Source organism: Homo sapiens, chromosome 10 (genome assembly GCF_000001405.40).
Source record: "Homo sapiens chromosome 10, GRCh38.p14 Primary Assembly".
Lineage (NCBI taxonomy): Eukaryota > Metazoa > Chordata > Mammalia > Primates > Hominidae > Homo > Homo sapiens.
In genome coordinates, this window is record NC_000010.11 from 15,359,781 (window position 1) to 15,382,235 (window position 22,455).

Genomic DNA, 22,455 nt, shown 5'->3' on the forward strand with positions numbered 1-22,455 from the left:
TGACTTGGCAATGGAAGGGGCAAGGTGACAAGGAATGCAGGTGGCCTCACGGAGGTCAGAAAGGCTTCTGGCCAGGACAACAAAACAACAGGGACTCCATCCTGAATTGGCAAGGAACTGAATTCCAAAAAGGAACATGGCCCAGCTGTTTGTTTGTTTGTTTGTTTGTTTTGAGACAGGGTCTTGTTCTGTTGCTCCGGTTGGAGTGCGGTTATGTGATCACGGCTCACTGCAGCTTCAACCTCCCAGGCTCAAGCGATCCTTCCACCTCAGCCTCTTAAGCAGCTGGGACCACAGTGTACCACCATGCCTGGCTAATTTTTTTTATTATTTGTAGAGATGAAGTCCTGCTATGTTGCACAGGGTAGTCTTAAATGCCTGGGCTCAAGCAATCTCCCCACCTTGGCTTCCCAAAGTTTTGAGATTGTAGGTGTGAGCCACCACACCTGGGCCCGATGCTTTGCTTTTGACCTTGTGAGACCCCAACCAGAGACTTGACTGAACCATGCTGTCTATACCCAAGCTTCTGACCCATGTAAATGGTGAGACAATAATGGGTGGCTAAATTGCTCCATTTGTGGCAGTTCGTTAAGGTAGAAATGGAAAACTAATGCAATGAAAATATCAGAAGTTCCTTAACATGCTTCCCTTTTTTCCCTCTAGATCAAATACTCTCTGGAATTGAACCATCTTTCACAAACAAGACTTTGAGGCTACCCCTTTAGGATTTCCTCCTTCTGATTAGTTCAGTTTAGCTATTCTAGGGCTGAGCTTGTCATGACCAGGGACAATGAGGTTTCTGTCACAGGGATGGGTGGGCACAGAGGAGTGCCAGTCCAGCCCAACACCAGCAAACATCATGAATGGGTAACAGTTATCACACGGATAAGCAGAGCATACAATGCCAGGAGACCTGATTTCAAGCTGTCCTTTGAATGTGTCTGGCATCTAGGGTCAACCACAATCATCTGAGTATAGTCAGATCAGCTCATGATACAGTAAGATTATGCCCCAATCTGCTTTCTAGAAACCACGCCTTCATCAAGGCAGCCCAACATCACCCTGGCGGTTCTGGTAGCCAAGCCACACTTTCGACTTTTTACTTGATTAATGTTACAGTCACCTAAAAGATCTAAGTATTTTTCCCATGGATTAAAATAAAATTAACCCATTCTATGCTGCAACTTTGTAACTGCCATAGTTACTGGCTACAGAGGGTTATTATTTTTTCGATCTAAATTTGGACCTAACTTTTGCAAGCCCTCGTCTTACCTTTATAAGAAACTATAATCAATGTCGTCACCTAATCATTAATAAAATATGATTAATTATAAAGGATAAATTATTAATAATTAAACAACTAAGATAATAGCAAATGTTACTTATAATAAAATGTTAAGATACAAAGTACACGTGCTTTAATTCTCTCTGTTAATATACATTTCCCTTAGAATACACTTCTTATTGACTCCTCTGTGAGGGAAGAGATTTAAGCCATAATTGTGGTGCAAGGAAACCACACCACAACCACACTCAAATAATGTCAGAATAAAGAGGAAGAGAGTGAACGTCATTCATTGAGACTGGGCTACTAATGGCTGTTCTTGAAATCAGAAGTCTTGCCAAGGGTAGCAACTCATGCCTGTAATCCCAGCATTTTGGGAGGCTGAGGTGGGTGGATCACCTGAGGTCAGAAGTTCGAGACCAGCCTGGCCAACATGGTAAAACCCTGTCTCTACAAAAAATACAAAAACTAGCCAGGTGAGGTGGTGTGCACCTGTAGTCCCAGCTACTCGGGAGGGTGAGGCAAGAGAATCGCTTGAACTCAGGAGGCAGAGGCTGCAGTGAGCCGAGATTATGCCATGGCACTCCAGCCTGGGTGACAGAGCAAGACTCTGTCTCAAAAAAAAATCATAAATCTTACTGATAGGACTCACTTTATGGATTGGGGACAACTTTAATAAAAGTGTTCAGTGCTCTTCATTCAGCTCTGCCAAAATGACATTAAAACTCTTTCTCCCAATACAAATTCAATCATTTTCCTATTCAAATTCTGAGCTCAAGATAGTACATCTAAGAAAATAAAAATGTTCATCTGACTTGGAACTACCTGGGCCTTTTCTCATTAAGTGTATGCCTCTCTATCCTTGTGGGAGTACAGATTAAAACAAGGCAAACAAAATTATAAAACAATCTCTGGTAAACTCAATTTTCACTTCCAAGGTATCTTTTCCTAAGCTAACTGCTACTTCCCAAAATTCCAAAAGATCTTGCTAGTTCTCACATTTGAGTGTCCTTATATATTTCATATAAAAGTAGGAGTTCAAAATATGGATGAACAGATGAAATCCACATTTGATCATCTTATCTACCCATCCAGTTTAAGGAATATAAGACAGCTTGACCTAATTCTTCCATCGTTATTATTCAGAGATTCCCAGTGACGATGAAAATCACTAAAGCACCAGTATTGTCCAGGCTGTGCTGTAGCTACTTTAAATATTTGATCAACTAGGGCCTCTTCTACTTAATTTGCAACTTTTAGGAATCCTGAGTGATGGAATACACACTTATGCTCCTTGAAATAAGACTTCTGTGTCCCACCGTGCATAACTCCTTGAAATATCTAGAAATCAACATTACTGGCCGCCATGGTGGCTCACACCTATAATCCCAGCACTTTGGGAGGCTGAGGTGGGTGGGTCACCTGAGGTCAGGAGTTTGAGACCAGGCTGGCCCGTCTCTACTAAATCTGAGATGGGGTGAAACCCCATCTCTACTAAAAATACAAAAATTAGCCAGGAGTGGTGGCATGTGCCTATAATCCCAGCTACTGGGGAGGCTGAGGCAGGGGAATCTCTTGAACCCAGGAGGCAGAGGTTGCAGTGAGCTGAGAGGGTGCCACTGCACTCCAGCCTAGGCGACAGAGCGAGACTCTGTCTCAAAAACAAAAACAAAAACAAAACATTACCAACAACCAGTAGCTGAACTTGTTTTTAGTCATACGAGAGTTAGTGGGTTTCATCTGAATCAAGAGACTCATGCCTAATTACATAAAAACTACCATCTAGATGTCCTTCTCACTTTAGGCATTTATTTTTCCACTTATTTTCCAATAGGATTGTAAACTTTCCGAGGTGAGAATTGCAAAATAATCAAGCTTATGCAAAAAATATAATGCCCCTCCCCGACAGACCACCTCTTTTTGTCCAATAAGTATTTAGCACACTGTCTTCATACAGCAGATGCTAAGATTTAGGAACTTGATTTCAAGAGCAGAAAACAGGTCAGCTACAGATGAAGGAAGTGAGGGTGTAGAGCAACTATGGAAAGGAGGATAAAGGAAACGCTTTAGAGGAGACGATTTGAACTGGGAAGAGCAGGAGACAGTGGGAAAGGCATTCAAAGACAGGCATGGAGGTCGTAAAGGCCGGGCTTAGTCATCCAGGCTTCACACTTCGGGCAAAAGGGACATACTTCGCATTATTCTGCAGGACAGGAATGTGAATTAAATGGTGCTTGAAGACAGACAACATGGAAGAGGGTTTTGAGTTGAAAGGACAAATTAAAACTGAGATGAAGACGATGCTGTCTTTAGCAAGGACCCAAGAGGGCTAAGGTAGACATGGAGTGGAAATCAGCAGAAATGAATGAATACTATGTCTAAGCTATGAGAGAGAGACAAAGATGCTACCTTAACCTGTGGCAAGGTCATCGGCCTTAAAATAACTGAATGATTCACTCCCTTCCTCCATTATTTATCTACCTTTTGGCCAAAGCCCAGAAATCGAGAAGGTTCAAGCTTCTCTGCAGCTTTAAGTTCAGTTCCTTGGCAGGAGACTGATGGCAGGACACTTCATCACCCTTCTCCTTCCCCTAGACATGAGGTTGGATGGAGTCCCATATGACTCCACCAAGCCATCAGTGACCCCTTCAGCTTCTGTTTGAGACCCTGCCCAAATGTCACCTGTCTCCCCTCTTTGGGGCCCACTGAACTGGATTCTTTTGCTCCCAAATGAGATGGAAATTGCAGGAAAGCAAGCAACTCCTCCCTCCCTCTATTCCCCAACAGATGCAGTGGCAAGGCTTGTCGAGGTGTTTCCACAGCGCTCCTCCCTCATCAGCATGGGGGCTTCTTGGATTGTTCAAATGGCCCTGGGCCCTGGAGCTGGTGGGGTGCATTTGCCTGAGAGAGGCAGAGAAATCTCAGAGGGGCCATGCTGAGCCCTGGGGAGGACAACTGGGAGGCCATTCAAGTCGGGTGGGTGGAGGGTGGGGGGGCGGTCCCTAACATTTCATTACATAAAGGCAGAAGGGACTATGGCGACATCCCATCCCAGCTTTCTTTTACTTCATTTGGTTACTAACAGATATGTTTCAACAAAAATTAGAGCACAGTCAAAAAGCCAGCAAGACTTCTGAAAGTGGCTTTTGGCAGGGGTTTCAGAGGCTACATGTTCTCCCTGCAGGTGTGAATCCCAGCTCTGGAAGGAACACAGCACACTCAATGGACCCGAACATAAGAAAAGCCACAGCCCACTTTTCCTTCCTCATCTGGAAGGAAAACAGTTATTCTGGTGATGGTGGGTGTCCTTGAGGTGGTCCCCAAGGATCCCTGTCATGGCTCCAGTTTGGTGGAATTCTGGTAAACCGATGCAAAAACTCCATGCGTTTTTCCAAATGTAACTTCAGTAGCTCAGTTCCAAAAAGCAGTCCATGCTGCACCACCATCCTGTGTGGGCGAATCTCTATTCACAGTTCTTAGGGGTTAGGGTCTGTGTTAGTTCCCTATTGCTGCCATAACAAATTATCAAACAACTCAGTGGTTGGAAACAACACACACTTATAATCTTACAGTTCTGGAGGTCGGAAGTCCAAAATCAGTTTCACTGGGCTAAAGCCAAGATGTCAGCAAGCCTGCATTCCTTCTGGAGGCTCTAGGGTAAAATTGGTTTCCTTGCCTTTTCTGGCTTCTAGAAGCCACCTGCATTCCTTGGCTCCTGGCCCCTTTCTCTATCTGCAAAGGTATCTGTGTAGCGTCTTCATTCTCTCCCTGACTTGGACCCCTTGCTTCTATTAGCACATCTCCTCTGACTTTGACCTTCCTGCTTCCCTCTTGTGATTGATTACAATGGGCCCAGCTGGATGATAATTCAGACTAATCTTCCCATCTCAAGATCCTTAACAGAATCACTTGGCCACAGTCTTTAGCCATGTAAAGTCACATACGGTTCCAGGGATCAGAATATGGACATTCTGGGGGCCATTATTCTACTACCACAACGTCTGCATGGCCAGAGAGCACAATTACCTTAGGTCACCTGGCCTGGGTTTCCTCATCTCCAGAACAAGGAACATCAACTTTATCCCCAAGACTCTTCGGGCACTAACATTTGCTACGTAAATTTATCTATGAGATTCCTACTGCATGGATTTTAAGGGAGGGAAGGGACGTAAGCAGACACTTAGATTTTGAGTCTGGTTAACAGAGAAGCAGGAATGCCGGGCTGCAGAAGGAAGGACAAAGAGTTTGAGGTAAACCTGGAGTGCTGAAACGGAGATGTCTACCAGTTTGCTGGACATAAAGAGATGGAGCTATGACATCAACTAAAGATGCGAGAGCCTGAGTCGTCCATCCAGAGGGGCTTAATTCCCAGAATTTGCAAAGATTAATAAGTTCTGAAAATGGTAAATGAAAGGAAGAAAAGGACTGGGCATGGTGGCTCCCACCTGTAATCCCAGTACTTTGGGAGGCCTAGGTGGGAGGACTGTCTGAGGTCAGAAGTTCAAGACCAGCTTGGCCAACATGGTGAAACCCCATCTCTACTAAAACACAAAAATTAGCCAGGTGTGGTAGCATGCACCTGTAATCCCAGCTACTAGGGAGGCCGAGGCAGGAGAATCTTTTCAACCTGGGAGGCAGAGGTTGCAGTGAGCTGAGATTGCACCACTGCACTCCAGCCTGGGGGACACAGTGAGACTCTGTTAAAAAAAAAAAAAGAGAGAGAAATGCAGACAGACAGAAAGAAAGAAAGATGAGCAAATGTTTGCAGACAGACTTGAATCTAAAAGTAAGAGGAGCTGGCGAATGAAACAGAGGCTTGATCAGAGAAGGTGGAGTCATCTTACATATGCTGACTCAGCTGTTTAGGGGAACTTAACCTGAAGCCCTTTCTAAAATGGTTAGTTGCCTCAAATTTTGCCTATTTACAAGTTAGATTTATTTTTTAAATAATGGTTTTCTTAATTCAGGGTATGCTATTGGGTTACACTGTAGAATTTCTTTTTTAAGAAACAGTTATTTCATACAATTCTTTGGTCGAGTACTGAAATGTAGTTTCATGTATTTATTTATTTGAGATGGAGTTTCATTCTGTTGCCCAGGCTGGAGTGCAGTGGTGCGATCTCTACTCACTACAACCTCTGCCTCCCGAGTTCAAGCAATTGTCCTGCCTTAGCCTCCCGAGTAGCTGGGATTACAGGCGCCCGCCACCATGCTTGGCTACGTTTTGTATTTTTAATAGAGATGAGGTTTCACCACGTTGGCCAGGCTGGTCTTGAACTTCTGACCTCAAGCGATCCACCCACCTCAGCTTCCCAAAGTGCTGGGATTACAGGCATAAGCCACTGTGCCTGGCCTGAAACTTAATTTCTAAAATACATTTAAAATATATTCAGTTCTGTGTTTCCTGGAGTTGAATAATTTAGCTAAAACTGCCGTCTTTATGAGTCCTAAAGTCATATTTGGTGATATTAAGTGAAAATGATTTGTGTAAAATCTTCTCTATAACTTGATCAAACTATAACAGCATTACTGGTATGTATAATTTCCACTAAACATGTTTCACAAAAAGTACACAAGGTATTTGTCATCACAGGACAAACTCCTCTCTCTAGATCTCTGAAATATGCTTTATTCAATTTTTTCTTCATGATACAGCATTATACATACCTGCTGTCTATCCAGTTTATTTCCATATGTTTTCTTGGTAAGCAGTGTTTACTAAAAGTAGGAAATTAATATTTATTAAAAATTCCAAATTAGTATTTCCCAGCAATAATAAAGATGCACAGTTAGATTTACTGAGATGTCAGTAATTTGGTTAAAATAAAGAATTGATTAAAACTGAGAAAGTGGCTGGGTGCAGTGGCTCATGCCTGTAATCCCAGCACTTTGGGAGGCTGAGGCAGGCGGATCACAAGGTCAGGAGATCGAGATCATTCTGGCTAACACGATGAAACCCCTTATCTACTAAAAATACAAAAAAAATAGCCAGGCGTGGTGGCGGGCACCTGTAGTCCCAGCTACTCAGGAGACTGAGGCAGGAGAATGGCGTGAACCTGGGAGGCGGAGCTTGCAGTGAGTTGAGATCACGCCACTGCACTCCAGCCTGGGCGACAGAGCGAGACTCCATCTCAAAACAAACAAACAAACAAACAAACACACACACAAAAACTGAGAAAGTATTAATACTTGAAAGCTATTTGTTTAGAAATGCATGCACTATTTTCCTTCTTTTGGTTTGGATGTTAAGGTAACAACCTATAAGTTACAAAGTATTATAGACAAGTACAAATAAGATATAAAAATAATTCATGAAGTCATTTCAAAGACTTTTCCAGAAATTCCCTAGATGTTACTGTTGCTCCTGCATAAAGCCCTCACACCTGGCTTGCAAGGAAGCCCAGCGGCCTCTGTGAGTCCAGCTCCTGCGGTTTCCCAGGATGTGAGCCCATGAGTTTTATTTAGAAGTCATGCTCTTAATACAATGTCACCGTAAGTTAGGCTTGTTGGATGATCCTCCTGATACCTTACATGGCTTCGTGGTCTTTCAACAGATCCCAGTGTTCTAATAACTGAAGTTTGAGTTTGGCAAAGAATAGACCTCTTAGAGAAGAGACAAAGCCAATCATTGTCTTCAAATGTTATAACAGATTGCAGCTTTTCTGAGATGAGCAAAAAGCTAGCGCATCATCGCAAAACACCTTGCACTTTTCAGCACTGGGTTTGCCTCAAACACCTGCTAGATATCCAGCGACAAAATAAACATCATCCAATAAGATGTCTGAGCATGAAGTTCTTAACCTAGCTCTGACCTTCCTTTTGGCACATAAATAAGAGTGCTGGGCTTCAAAAACACATCCCTAAAGAGTACATCTGCACAGCTTACTGCTCCTCCAGGACAGCTCTCTCTATTGAACCCAGCCTCATTACAGTTTTGCAAAAGAGGTGAAGAAAATCAAAATGGGTCAATACTTTTGAACAACAATTTTGAAAAATTCCCAGAAAATAGATTCGATACTATAAATGCTCCAGAGCAACTGAGAGGAAACACTTAATAAAAATAGTCATAGTCTAGAGCTAGTTCAAATTCATGATAAACAAAGCCAACCCTTACCGTGACAACTGACTGTGGCATTGGAAATCACTTTGCCAATTCGAAGCAGCTACGGGAAGAGAGTCTGAAGCCAAGCCTCCAATTTTATCTTGAATATATAAAAAGCAAAGTAATGCCAAGAAATTCTGCAGATGCTAGTTTCATCAGATGACATAAAGACTCATTTAATCAAAAAGGTGTCATTTAGTTCTAGCAATCTAGTTGGACTACTACAGTATATGATTTCCGTCTGTTTGAGGTCTCTAAGCAGTTTTACCAAAGTAATTGCCAAATCCTGTTGGTGCATAATATGTATGTGCAATGCTTGTTCAAAGAATGATTCAAACAACAGATTCTACATAAAAGCAAGATTCTTACAAATTAGCTTTTGGGGAAGGTAAACATTGAACTTTTCTTCTTAAAATGCAAGCCAATGATGATCACTAAAGGTTGCGTTATGGTGTAGGTATTAGCTATGGTTGATGCTTACCTACTCAGCACCATCTGAGCACCAACTGTATGCATAACAACCTACAACCCACTGTGGGAAATGCAAAGTGAAATCAGATGCAGCATTTGTCTTCATCGTGTACATGATCCAGGAAAGCAGAGAACACATGAATTTTAAAACTACGTCATACTACAGCAAGTGAACATTAAGATGCTTTGAAGAACTCAGTGAGTTGGGACTGACCTTCTAATGTCAAAGGAGAAATTGTCCATTCCCTTAAAAATGCTGCTAGCTCAAAATCCAAATGCCAGGTAGTGAGACCTGATTTCTGAAAGAGTTCCTGGGCTCAAGGCTTTAAAAAGCCATCCTTACAGTAGATAACAACAAAGGAAGTAATCCAAGGGGTAAACTATGCCAAGATACTTGATCTCCCACTCCAACCATACCCTAAACTAAGCCACTGCTAGCCATGGCAGAAACCTCTTCTCATGTTGACCATTTCCCTCCCATTTCGCATAATATTCCATTCCTGAGAGGCGGATTTTTAGCAGCAAGAGCTGGGTAAAACGTGGTCTTAGACCTAAACCTGTTATATATATATTGAATATATATATATATATATATTGAAGACATGCCTTCCTTTCTCTAATTCAGAAGTGCATGAATTTAATATTTCCATATATTGGTATTTCAAGTGCAAAAGGAAAAATTCAACTTGCTCTTTAAAATTAACGGCCTCGCTGAAGTGCAAATATCATTCTCTAAAATAGCTGATTCAAAAAAGCAGTAGGGTATTAATAAAAGAAGCTGCAATGCAACACTGATGATCTAATGTCCTAAACATTCGTTTCCTACACGAAGAGACATATAGGTCTTTTTGTATTTTGTAGCTGTCCGCTCTTCCATGATATGCATTACTAAAATTATACACAATTCATAACGGTCATATTCTACCATGGCCATAGAAGCAGCAATGCATTTAAGATATACCAGGAAATGATACTGCAAGTGCCAGAATATGAAAACCTTCAACTCAACATGTAGGCAACAAACTCAACCCAACAGAGTGTTGGCAGAGCCTTTCCTCCCCGTAGCAACATCGTGGTGGAAGCCCGGGCGTCTCTGCTCCCAGGCACCCTGAGCATGTTAGCCGAGGAAAGGGGGTTCCAGCAAGGAGACCCTCGGATGCAGCACTCCTCGTTTCTTTGGCCTGCAGGGCCAACTTTGCAGGACACACACCCTTCTGAGGGGACAGGCCTCGGGCTCGGAATCCCGGGGTTCTGCAGGGCTGCAGGGAGCTCCCTCGCAGAGACCTGAGCCCCCGGCAAGAGTCCAGGCAGCGGTGCCCTGGGTGAATGCAGAGGCTCATCTGCGGGCCTCAGTGGCCCTTTTGAAAACGCCAGCAACAGAGGAGTCCTCGACGCTGTCCCCACAAAAATGTGCCAAGCAAGCCTCAGGGTGGGTGTGGGGGACTCCCCTCAAAAAACGCTGATTTTAAAAACAAAAGACAGGCTCGTGGCCATTCTCAGAGGCGACCACGTTACTCCCAGGGCTGGAAAGCAGATTTGTGGAGGCCAAAGACGAGACAAAAGGCACGAGCTGGCGACAAACTGATCTGGAAAGGATTTTTCTTTTTTTTTTTTTTTTTTTTGGTGAGCGATGAGGGCCTCCCAGTTCAATTCTTTCTTCCCTTACAGAGAAGACTCATGGGCCGCTGAGCAAATCCCTTATGGTCTGGAAGAGACGTCAGATAGGCAGGGGGAGAGAACCCCCCAAACTTTCCCAAACTGCGGCAGGCTAGTGGCTAGTGGCGGCAGCGGACCTCGGGGCCCCGGGACACAGGGGGCACCCCGGGGCGTCAGCCACCCCCTCCCGCCACAACAAAAGGCCCCAGCGCAGCCCAGGAGCTGGGACTTCCCAGACCCGAGCCCGGCGTGGGGAGCCGGGAGCGCGATCGGGCGGCGCGCCCTGGGCGGCCCCTCTGTCCGCGGCGACATGGGAGACAGAGCCGCGTGTCCGAGGCGCGGCATAAAGGGGACCCCCGGGCGCATCCAGACGAGCCCCCGCCGCAGCGGCGACAGCAGCTGGAGCTGCCCGCGCCCCCGCCCGACCCAGCCCCCGATCCCCGGCCCCCGAAGCCTCCGCCCGGGTCACCCCGCGTCGCCGGCCCGCGCCGCCCCCTCGGGAGCGCGTTGCGGGTGCTGCAGGCCCGGAGGCTCCCGATGCGGCTCGGGCTGCGTCGCCACCACGCGGCCCGGGACCCTCCCGCCGCCGCCGCCGCCGCCGCCGCCTCCGCGCCAGGCCCGGCGCGACACAAAGCCCCCGGCCCCGCCGCCGCCCACTGACCTTGGGCTCCGGCGCCGGGCTCCCGCAGCGTCTTGGTCACCGCCTTCCAGACGTGGCAGCCCAGCAGGCACAGCAGCAGCGTCGCGGACCTGCTCATCTCCGCCGCGGGGCCGGCGGCGGCTCGGGCTCGCCGAGAGCGGGCCGGGCGGCGGCGCGTCACGGGCGGCCGGGCGCCGCGCCCCCCTCCATGTCGCTGGCTCCGCGCGCCGGGCCCGCCGCCCGATTGGCCCGGCCCCGCCGCCCCGGCCGCTCCCTCCCGCGCCCCGCGCCGGGTTTCCCCGAAGAGCCGCGGCGGCGGCGGCGGCGGCGGCTGCTGCTGCTCCGCCAGCTCCTTAACCCCTTCCTGCCTCGCCCGCCGCCGCCGCCGCTGCCCGCGCCCAGGCCCCGGGCCCGTGGTGCCACCTGGCGGCTGCGGCGCCGAGGGCGCCCCCGCCCGGCGCCGCTGCGTCGCGCCCCCAGCCCGACCCCCGGCGACACTGCCCCGGCGCGCCCCATCCCCGCAGCCCCGCAGAAGAGCCAGACCTGCCTTTCAGGGCGGAGCCCTTTTCATCACACCAGGTCACCCAAGGGGCCGCAGGAGACATTGTATCTGGGTGTGACCCCCCCACCAGGTGCCATCCTAATGTAGTTGTGTCCCCCAACGTAGATTTCACACCCAGTGTTAAAGATCCGCAAAAACACTCCCCAAGCCAGTATAGACTGCAGTAGGCCTGCAGTACCTACGTGTTGGCGGGTGGACAGCTTCAGGAGGAATGGTACTTGGATGGTTCTAGGGGTTAGGGTGGGGAGGAAATCCACATCTTTTGAGGCCCTAGGTGCTTTAAAACTTTCTGTCCTATTAAAGAAAAAAGACTATTCCATGACACGTGTGAAAGCACAGCAAAGAAGACCCTCTTTGGAACCATCGCAATAGGTATAAGCCCTACCATGGGATTCTGCAGTCGGGGAGAAAGGTTGGGTTCAACTCTGAATACAGCAGGAACAAGTGGGGATTTATAACCGAGGACCAGGGTGGGATGCAGGGAATGAAAAATTATAAGAGGAAACATCAGGGGGAAGGGGGATTCTTGAAAGTCAGACATCCCCTGGCAGGGCTGGGCAGGACAGGGCGGATGGGGAAGCTGATCAGATATCCAGGGTGGAGGGTTCTTGGTAAACTGACTTAGCAGGGTTCTTCCTGAAAGCAGATTTTACAAGGAAGGGCACAACTGAGCCTAGAAGAAGGTTCCGGAGCCTGACTGTAGTTCGGTCAAGCAGAGACTCTTTGTCCATCTTCACAATACATGATCTAAGAGGTAGTTAGCATTATCCCCCCCATTCACAGATGAGAAAAGAGGCTAAAGAGGGTTAAGGAATTTGTCCAAAAGTGCATACCTGGTCAGTGGCAGAGCCAAAATTCTAATAAAACAGTCAGTCTGACCCCAAAATTGAAACTCTTCACAAAAACCTCCAGACTTGGCTGGGTGTGATGGTTCATGCCTATAATCCCAACACTTTGGGAGGCTGAGGTAGGTGGATGGCCTGAGTTCAGGAGTTAAGAGACCAGCTGGGCCAACATGGTGAAACCCTGTCTCTACCAAAAATACAAAAAAATTAACCAGGCATAGTGGCCCATGCCTGTGGTCCCAACTACTCAGGAGGCTGAGGTGGGAGGATCGCTTGAACCTGGGAGTGGGGAGGTTGCAGTGAGCCAAGATCGTGCCACTGCACTCCAGCCTGGATGACAGACTGAGACCCCGTCTCAAAAAAAAAAAAAAAAAAAAATCAAAAAATAAAACCACCAAAAAAACCACACACAAAACAAAACCAAACCTCTAGACTTTCCTTGAGCCTAGGGACCCCCTCCATTCCAACCTCAACTTTTCTTTCTCTCAACCCACTCCTGTCGGTATGCCTTCCACACAACCTTCACCTCCACTTGTCCCTCTCCACCTTCTCTTCCAACTAGCACTGCGGTGACCTTCCGACTTCCACTGGGGACCTAGGAAAATCCACTCCAGACCCATCATCCACCCCACACTGCTTCCAGAACACCAGGCCAGAAGGAGGGTTATTACTGTAATTTCATTAATTGAGCATTTAGACATGGCAGGCACCGTACCAAAAAAAGAATGAAGGATGGCACTTGCCCAGTTGGCTTATAAAAGACAAATGACTGTGAGACATGAGAAAAACTAGGACGTACAGAAGCCCATATGGGTTTTATAGTCACCCTTAGGACCAATGCTGCAATTTGCGCAAATCACGCACCTGCACAGGGTGGCAGGTAGTCAGGAAGGCAGAAAGAAATAGGGACTGCTGGATTCCCTCCTTCTTCTGATTCCTGCATCTAAGCCTAATATATGGCATCAAAGTTCCTAATATATGGCACTCACTGAACTGGAGCTATTTCCTCATAACAACTTATTTGGTAGGTATCATTGTTTCCATTTCACAGATGAACAAACCGAGGCTTGGTGCCATTAAACAACTTGCCCACAATACAAAGATCTGATAAGTGTAAATTCCCTATACCATGTTACTTCTGAGAATAAATTTTATGCAAATGATTCAAATTACCTCCAGGAGTGTCCAAATTGTTTGAACCTGCTCTAATCCCAGTGAAGTGCAAATCTAGTGAATACTATGGTGCCAATGTTCATTTCCTGGCATTGACAGTGTACTACAGTTATATAAGATGTTACAATTGGGGGAAGCTGGGAGAAGGATAGATGTGACCTCTCTGTACTATTTTTGTAACTTTTTATGAGTCTATAATTATTTCAGATGGAAATATTTAAAATAGAAAAAAAATCCCATTCTATGCCATTTTTCTAAGTCTTATTGTTCACTCAAAACACTGGTGTTTGTGATCTTAGTATAGAGTTCCAGAATGTTTCAGGGTGGAAGAAATCTTAATAAACTGAATCAAGTTGGGTTCACAATCTTAACTGTATCAAGCTTGTCCAACCTGCCTTATTTTGTTGTTGTTGTTGCTGTTGTGTTTTTAGACTTTTAGCAGCCTAAAGCCATCGTTTTCAGTTTCCATCTCTAGTGATAAGTGGAAAAGAGGGATGAGGAAGGGGCTTTACTGGCTCAACCAAAAATAGAAATGAAGAACCCATGACTGTATTCTCTCCCTTGGACACCCCTGCGAGACGCTCAGGTCTGATGGAGGTGGTTGTTATTATCGTGTATAACAATACTTTCCAGGACGAATTGGAACTTTAGGAGAAGTTTATGTACCCTCATAGCAACACTGAGTCTTGTCTAAATAGTTTCAGAAACACCGCTGCCATCCCATTTTGCAGATGCCCTTGTGAAAGAGAAAGAGGTTAAACAATTTGCATAGTACATTCTGCAGGCCAGTCTCAAAGCCAAAAACAGGGCTGGGGCCCCAAAGAGTATTATCTCATCACCCGGGTATTTTCCAGTTACCTGGGTGGGAGGCTGTAAGGAACACAGATTCTGCTACATCACTCAAATTAACATACTTGCATATCATGTAGCCAGAATTATGTAAGAATTAAATAATCACACTTATCCTTTACAGGAATAAAAAATATGATTTACCTTTTCTCATGTTCCGATCATGATCATCAGACACCCACTCAGTAACTAAGGGAAGAAAATTACTTGTGGAGGAGTATTTGCAGAACAATGGAAGTTAGAAGTGTTCTTTCCCTGTAGAACTTTTCCTGTTGCTCTTACTAAAATCTCACATTGTTTGACTAGAGATGAATTATGACTGTACTTATTTGAAATTGCTTAGAAGTTGCTTGACTGTGCAGCATTTGATTTCAATTTTCCAGGCCTGTGCCAAAAAAAAAGAAAGAAAAAAAGAAAAAAAGTCATGCCACATACAGAACTTTTCCTGTCTGAATTTTCCAGAGACCTTGATTTCAGGGGCTCTGTGTCAAGGTTTCTTAGCCCAAGATTACTTATTCTATTGAAATATTTCCTGATGTTGGTCCCACGTGGTGGATTTTTTTTTTTTTTTTTTTGAGACAGAGTTTCACTCTTTTTGCCCAGGCTGGAGTACAATGGCGCAATCTCAGCTCACTGCAACCTTCGCCTCCTGGGTTCAAGCGATTCTCCTGCATCAGCCTCCTGAGTAGCTGGGATTACAGGCATGCCCCACCACGCCCAGCTAATTTTGTATTTTTAGTAGAGATGAGGTTTCTTCATGTTAGTCAGGCTGGTCTTGAACTCCCAACCTCAGGTGATCTGCCCGCCTTGGCCTCCCAAAGTGCTGGGATTACAGACGTAAGCCACTGCGTCCGACCCCGTGGTGGAATTTTAATGGTCTGGGTTTGCTTGGAGAGGTATTGTTCTTCCTTCTTCCCTTTCTTCCCCTAGCCCCTGCCCCCCAGTCTGCCCCTGAGTAAGAAGCTTCCAGTAAACAACAGAATTTTATGAGATTGTACAGGTCAGGAAGTATGTCATGGTCATTGCTACTTCTGTTTGCTGGCACTTTTATTTAAGTTAGATAGAATGTAGCCACAGATAGAAATTGTTAACAGCCCAGCATTTTTTTTGAAGCTATCCGCATCTATATAAAAAAGAAAAAACAAACCAAAACATAAGGTAACAAAATTACTGTCAAGGGACTGATGTGTTTAAGTGATCCCCAACCCTCCTCTTTTTCCTCTGTGTGGTTCAGCCCTCATATTTCAATCTCTGTGACTTTCCAACAAGCTCTTTCTTTCAACAGCATCTTTCGGTTTTTTTCCTACAACCTCACTTCTCGCGTACAGGTTTTCAGCCAGGAGAGGCTTTTCTTTTTTTTTTTTTTTTTTTTTTTTTTTTGAGGCGGAGTCTCGCTGTCACCCAGGCTGAAGTGCAGTGTCGTGATTTCGGCTCACTGCAACCTCCACCTCCCAGGTTCAAGAGATTCTCCTGCCTCAGCCTTTCTAGTAGCTGGGATTACAGGCGTGTACCACCACACCCAGCTAATTTTTATGTATTTTTAGTAGAGACGGGATTTCCCCATATTGGCCAGGCTGGTCTCGAACTCCTGACTTCAAGTGATCCACCCGCCTCAGCCTCCCAAAGTGCTAGGATTACAGGCGTGAGCCACCTTGCCCGTCCCAGGAGAGGCATCTTATTCAGGAAATAATTCTGAATTATTTGGGAGATGCTGAGAGTGTACATCGGCCTGCAGGATTGAATTTCAGATTACGCCATTTGGTCCTGTGATTTCAGATCCCCTGTCTTAGAGTTCTACTTTGTGCATCCTCTGGTAACTCAAGGAGTCTGGGACACATCCCAGGCACTTGATCAATAGGTTTGGCTTTTGGAAAGAGTATTCAGAGGCTAGTGGCTAATGGAGAATTGAGTTGCTCAGCAATTCATTTTAAGCCAATATGCTCTTTTGGCAAGCCCATTCCATTAGAGCAAGCAGAAGTTTCCAGCTCTATTCTTTGCTGATCCATTGAATTTTTTATTTATTTTTTATTTTATTTTTTGAGACAACGTCTTGTTCTGTCGCCCAGGCTGGAGTACAGTGGCGCAATCTCGGCTCATCGCAACCTCTGTTTCCTGGGCTCAAGCGATTCTCCTGCCTCAGTCTCCTAAGTAACTGGGATTACAGGCACGTGCCACCATGCCTGGCTAATTTTTTGTAATTTTAGTAGAGCTAGGGTTTCACCATGTTGGTCAGGCTGGTCTTGAACTCCTGACCTCAAGTGATCCACCCACTTCGGCCTCCCAAAGTGCTGGGATTACAGGTGTGAGCCACCATGCCCAGCCAGTTAACCCACTGAATTTACTGTCATATAGACAAAAAGTGCAAGGCAAGACGTAAGCGTCCATGTTCTTGCTGGAAAATGTCTATCTGTGACTACTGCGTCTACCTTCAGAAATGCACAAAGGGACATGAAGCAAGGTAGAGAAAAGACAGGGTTTTTTTTTGTTTTTGTTTCTGTTTTTTTTTTTTTTTTTCATAGAAAACTTAAAAGAGTTAGGGAAAAGAGAGGAAGACAATGGAGAAAATGGAGAAGGTAATTAGCATCAGTTGAACTTTTGTTGTGTGGCTGACTATACCTCAACCAGGGGGAAAGTTTCAGAAATTCCGCTGATCTCCGATTAATTTTCAAGTTCGATCTTTGCATGGTACTTTATTTTCTTTTCCTTTCATTTCTTCTGTTTAATTATAATACTTTTGACTCAAAGCTGCCTACTGTCAGAACCTTTCTCTTAATATCCTAGTCCTGTTTAATTACTAAACAAAGAGAATCCTTCATTGGAGTCCCCATAAAAATGGAAATGGGGGTGAACAGATGATTTTTCTGGGCATATTATACAATACGTTTAGATGCATTTACTTTGAATACATACGGCCCTAGGAGAGCCATTTGTGTAAAAATGAGTCTTAACCAGGAGTGCTTTGGCTGCTGGTGTCATTTTCTACTAGCTTCCCCCTTGCCTGTTTTTTGAGACAGGGTCTCACTCTGTCACCCAGGCTGGAGTACAGTGGTATAATCATAGCTCACTATAACCTCAAACTCCTGGGCTCAAGTGATCCTCCCACTTCAGCCTCCCAAGTAACTGGGACTACAGGTGTGCACCACCACACCCAGCTAACTGAAAACAAAATTTGTAGACATGAGAGTCTTGCTATTTTGCCTAGGCTGGACTTGAACTAGTGGCCTCAAGCAATCCTCCTTCCTTGGCCTCCCAAAATGCTGGGATTAGAGATGTGAACTGCCAGACCTGGCCTACTATCTTTTCTTTAGCCTGAGACTTTAGTGGACAAGAGGAACTTCATTGGTACATATTTTAAAGTTTCATAAAAATGTCAGTTAGTATTTTATAACTGTATTCTTCTATTAATAAAATCTTCAGAAAGTAAGCCAAAAAGGAGACAAAACGACAACAAAAAAAAAAAATAATAAAAATTGGCCCAGATTTCCTGCTTTCCTGTTGGGAAGCACGAGGTGAAAACCAATGGTTTTCCTCAAAAAAGAAAGAGGAGAAAAAAATAATCAGTCCCTCATAATCCTTGAAACATCTGGCCTTATGCACAAATTTGAGTCCTTGGTTTTACAAATGGATTTTCTGTCTCGAATGTTTATTTGTAAGTCAGTGGCATTTCTCATTTAATGTTATAAATACTGGTTGTTAACTCCTCTGCCCAGTAATGTGTTTGAATGTAGGGCAAATAGTACCAATCTAAATATACCTGAAGCCTATTTATACTTTTGCTGAAGGACAATTGTATTCCTGAGAGTCTTGGGGTAAGCAGAGGTCCTTTATGTATGGAGCTGCATTCCTGGGAACTGTGAGTCTTCTACTGATTTGGAAATAAAGATGTAAGTAGTACCTCTTTTTTTTTTTTTCGAGATGGGGTCTTGTTTTGTTGCCCACGTTGGGGTGCGGTGGTGCAATCATAGCTCGCCGCAGCCTTGAACTCCTGGGCTTAAGCAATCCTCCCACCTTAGCCTCTGCAGTTGCTGGGACTACTCCACCATGCCTGGCTAAATTTTTTAAATTTTTCGTAGAGCGGGGTCTTACTATGTAGCCCGGGCTGGTCTCAAACTTCTGGGCTCAAGTGATCCTCCTGCCTCAGCCTTCAAAAGTTCTTGGATTACAGATGTGAGCTACCATGCCTGGGTAGTACATTTAAAACTTAATCACCACAGTCTGAAAGAGATTTTGCTTTTTCTGAACATAGGTTAGCACCTCCATCAGTAAGGGCTCATGTGATGGAAAGAGAAACCTCTCTAGCTTCTTACACATTCTACAGGGAATTAGGTGCTTACAAAAATCTGCGAAGGGGACAGAGGAGGGGCTCTAGGAAAATCTTCCAGAACAGCCCCCTCTCCTGGGATCCTGGGGTGCTGCTCCTGTGCCCCAGTCAGGAAGGCTGGGAAGCTGGGTTGTGCTTCAGAGGTTTTACTTTTTTTTTTTCGAGACGGAGTCTCACTCTGTTACCCAAGCTGGAGTCCAGTGGTGTGATCTTGGCTCACTGCAGCCTCTGCCTCCCCGATTCAAGCGATTCTCCTTCTTCAGCTTCCTGAGTAGCTGGGACTACAGGCGAATGCCACAATGGCTGGCTAATTTTTTGGCATTTTTAGTAGAGATGGGGTTTCACTATGTTTCCCAACTGGTCTCGAACTCCTGGCCTCAAGCGATCCACCCGCCTTGGCCTCCCAAAGTGCTGGTATTACAGGCGTGAGCCAGGGCACCTGGCCTGCAGAGGTTTCACTTAGGAGCCTGCACTCTTGCTGAGGCCAGGGATCAGGAAGCCAGGCTCCTGCCACCCTCCCTGCTAGTGATTAGACACAGGGAAGCTAACCCTGCAGAAAAGCCCAGCACATCCTGCAGCAGGGAGACAGTCTTGTCTCTCTTTGCTTTCCAAATCTCTACCAAGAGCATCCACTTGGCAGAACCTGACTCCCACCCAGAAGCCTAGCTGTGAGGAAGTCTGGAAATGTCATTAAGAAGGGGGAAAAAATCCAACGTCTGGAGCACAAGATGGCACAGGGAAGAAGCAGGCACCGATTCTGAACGCCAGCTCCTATCTCCCCAGAGCCTCCGAGTCTAGTGGTTGCATACTGCATCTTGTCTATCACCCCAGTTCTAGGTACCAAGACAACTGCAAATACCCCGTGGTCCCTTTATGATGGCTCTAGTATCTTTCTTGCTTTTCTTTTCTTTTCTTCCTGTTTTTTTTTTTTTTTTTTTTTTTTGAAACAGAGTCTTACGCTTGTCACCCAGGCTGGAGTGCAATGGCACGATCTCGGCTCACTGAAACCTCTACCTCCTGGGTTTAAGCAATTTTCCTGCCTCAGCCTCCTGAGCATGTGGGATTACAACAGGCATGCGCCACCACGCCCAGCTAATTTTTGTATTTTTAGTAGAGACAGGGTTTCACAATGCTGGCCAGGCTTGTCCCAAACTTCTGACCTCAGGTGATCCGCCCACCTCAGCCTCCAAAAGTGCTGGGATTACAGGTGTGAGCCACCGAGCCTGGCCTTTCCCGCATTTCTGAACATGATAAGCAATGATAGGGATCATGGAATCCCAGGATGCTAGAACTCAAAAGAATTTGAAGGAACTGGCCCATTCCCACCATTTCTCAGGTAAGAAAGTGGAAAATTAGAGCAGGATGATGGAGCGCCAAAGATCGCTCAGCTAGTCTGGGTGATACTGGCTACCTTTGCAGAAGGGAGGAACAGGCTCTTTTAGCATCTGCCCTAAAGGAGGTACCTCCAGACCTGACAACAAAGGTGTGCTCTGGCACTAAAGGTCCTCTTGGGCCCTTGTGTGTAGTGTGGTAGGGGTACTTATGAGTCCAATATTCCTTCAGACCTTTAGTTTGATGATGTCACTTTTGTAAAATTTGGGAGACAGAGGAAGGAGGATCACTTGATCCCAGGAGTTCAAGAACAGCCTAGGAAACAAAGTGAGACCTCCTCTCTCCAAAAAAAAAAAAAAAAAAAAAAAAAAAAAAAATTGTTTTAATTAGCCAGACACAGTATCTTGCACCTGTGGTCCCAGTTACTTGGGAGGCTAAGGTGGGAGGATCCCTTGAGCCCAGGAGTTTAACGCTGCAGTAAGCTATGATTGCACCACTGCACTCTAGCATGGATGACAGAGTGTGATTCTGTCTCAAAAAAAAAAAAAAAAAAAAAAGAAATCCTCCTGGCCACCCTATCTAAAGTAACCCTCCTCCTCCCGGTTATGTGATATCACTCTATGGTCTTCCTAACAATCTCACTGTCTAAGATGCTCTTCATTGTTCACTTGTTTATTCAGCTTCTTGCAGTCTGCTTCCCTGACCTGTACTAAAACATCAGCTCCATGAGGGCAGGGCTTTTGCCTCACTCTCTGCCATATTCCCAACACCCAGAAAAAACGTTTGGCACAGAGTAGATGCTCAATAGCTTCAGCCAAAGTGGAAAATTATGCCTAACCTTGAAGAAATATTTCCTTCCAGTTAATCTGCACATGCCTCTGAGCTCAAGACCAGCCTGGGCAACACAGACAGACCCCATCTCTACAAAAATTACAAAAATTACCTGGGCATGGTGGTGCATGTCTGTGGTCCCAGCCACTCAGGAGGCTGAGGCGGGAGGATCACTTGAGCCTCGGAGATCGAGGTTTCACTGAGTGGAGATTGTGCCACTGCACTCGAGCCTGGGTGAGAGAGTGAGACTCTTCTAAAAAACAAATCTCTGCTACACTGGATTAATTAACAACCCAGCAAGTATTTCTTGAGTCCTCATTATGGGCCCAAAGTTTAAAAAGGTAACCAAAGACCCTCTTTAGTCTGAGCTCATCGCAGAGACGCTACTTCAGATAAGCAGGCAGCACATCTTGAGCCCTGAATTGACCTTGAGTTTTCCCACTTTGGGGTCTTTGCCGATGTCCCCCTTCTTCCTGGTCTGCCTTCCCCATTCCTTCTCGTCCTTCAAGTCACACCTGTGCTGTGACCTCCATAGATCTCTGTGATCTCTGGCAGGTAAGGCTCATTCTGTGCATTAACTGCTTGTACAGTTAGTGTCATGACAGGTTGCCACTTGTTGGAAATAACTGCTTTATACATTCAGGTTAGACCATGTATAGAAAAGATATCTAGCCAGATTCTAAACTGAGGTGGGGTCCACATTGCCTAAAATGCAGGCGGTCTGTCTCTAATGCTCAAAAACCATAACGTCCAGCACTGCTATCTAGGAATGTTTGCATAAACTTTTGACCTCTGAAAGTACACTATTCTTGGGTTCTGACATCAGTATTTAGTGTAAAGGTTTGTGTATGCAGTAACTCTCTAGAACCTTCTCCTTAAAAGTGGGCATCCCTCAGTCATTTAAAATAAACTCAAAAGAACCACGTGTTCATTCCTGTAATCCCGGCACTTTGGGAGGCCAAGGCAGGAGGATCCCTTGAGATCAGAGTTTGAGACCAGCCTAGGCAACATAGCGAGATGTGTCTCCATGAAAAATTTAAAAACTTAGCCAGATGTGGTGGTGTGTGCCTGTATTCCCAGCTACCCAGGAGGCTGAGGCAGGAGGATCGCTGGAGCCCAGGAGTTCAAGGCTGCAGTAAGCTATGATCGTACCACTGCACTCCAGCCTGGGTGACAGAGTGAAACCACAATTTTAAATAATAATAAACTCAAAACAGTGTATCTGAAAATATGACTTTGGTATCTTTTACACATCAAGGTCCTTTCTTCCCTACTGCCAACCTCATAAAGGGACCATCTTTTACTCCATCTCTATGGCTTCCTCAACATCTCAACAATGCCCTGCCCAAAGTTTACTGTCTTTTTCTTTTTTTTTTTTTTTTCTTGAT

The 22,455-nt window shown here is 45.5% G+C and overlaps 1 protein-coding gene across 2 annotated transcripts in view, besides 5 other annotated features; it reads right to left on the reverse strand.

The window, feature by feature from the left end:
* FAM171A1 (family with sequence similarity 171 member A1) overlaps positions 1–14,774 on the reverse strand; it is a 162,912-nt gene extending 148,138 nt beyond the window's left edge. The window contains exon 1 of one of the 2 annotated variants that reach the window (XM_017015904.2): positions 14,728–14,774. In XM_017015904.2, the coding sequence (XP_016871393.1) occupies positions 14,728–14,737 (10 nt within the window). In that variant the 5' untranslated portion in view covers positions 14,738–14,774. Of the gene's footprint in view, positions 1–11,175; positions 11,510–14,727 lie in introns of those variants that run through there. The other variant, NM_001010924.2, reaches the window with a different exon arrangement.
* Positions 11,266–11,495: a silencer, noted in NCBI's record as "silent region_2171". NCBI's record gives its function as "represses an Ori minimal core promoter by ATAC-STARR-seq in GM12878 lymphoblastoid cells {active_cell/tissue: GM12878}" and the evidence as "EXISTENCE:reporter gene assay evidence [ECO:0000049][PMID:35858748]".
* Positions 11,506–11,555: a silencer, noted in NCBI's record as "silent region_2172". NCBI's record gives its function as "represses an Ori minimal core promoter by ATAC-STARR-seq in GM12878 lymphoblastoid cells {active_cell/tissue: GM12878}" and the evidence as "EXISTENCE:reporter gene assay evidence [ECO:0000049][PMID:35858748]".
* Positions 14,536–14,635: a silencer, noted in NCBI's record as "silent region_2173". NCBI's record gives its function as "represses an Ori minimal core promoter by ATAC-STARR-seq in GM12878 lymphoblastoid cells {active_cell/tissue: GM12878}" and the evidence as "EXISTENCE:reporter gene assay evidence [ECO:0000049][PMID:35858748]".
* Positions 18,790–19,084: a silencer, noted in NCBI's record as "tiled region #1502; K562 Repressive non-DNase unmatched - State 13:Ctcf". NCBI's record gives its function as "represses a minimal TATA promoter and a strong SV40 promoter by Sharpr-MPRA in K562 cells {active_cell/tissue: K562}" and the evidence as "EXISTENCE:reporter gene assay evidence [ECO:0000049][PMID:27701403]".
* Positions 21,796–21,996: a silencer, noted in NCBI's record as "peak874 fragment used in MPRA reporter construct". NCBI's record gives its function as "represses an SCP1 promoter by STARR-seq MPRAs in K562 erythroleukemia cells {active_cell/tissue: K562}" and the evidence as "EXISTENCE:reporter gene assay evidence [ECO:0000049][PMID:32103011]".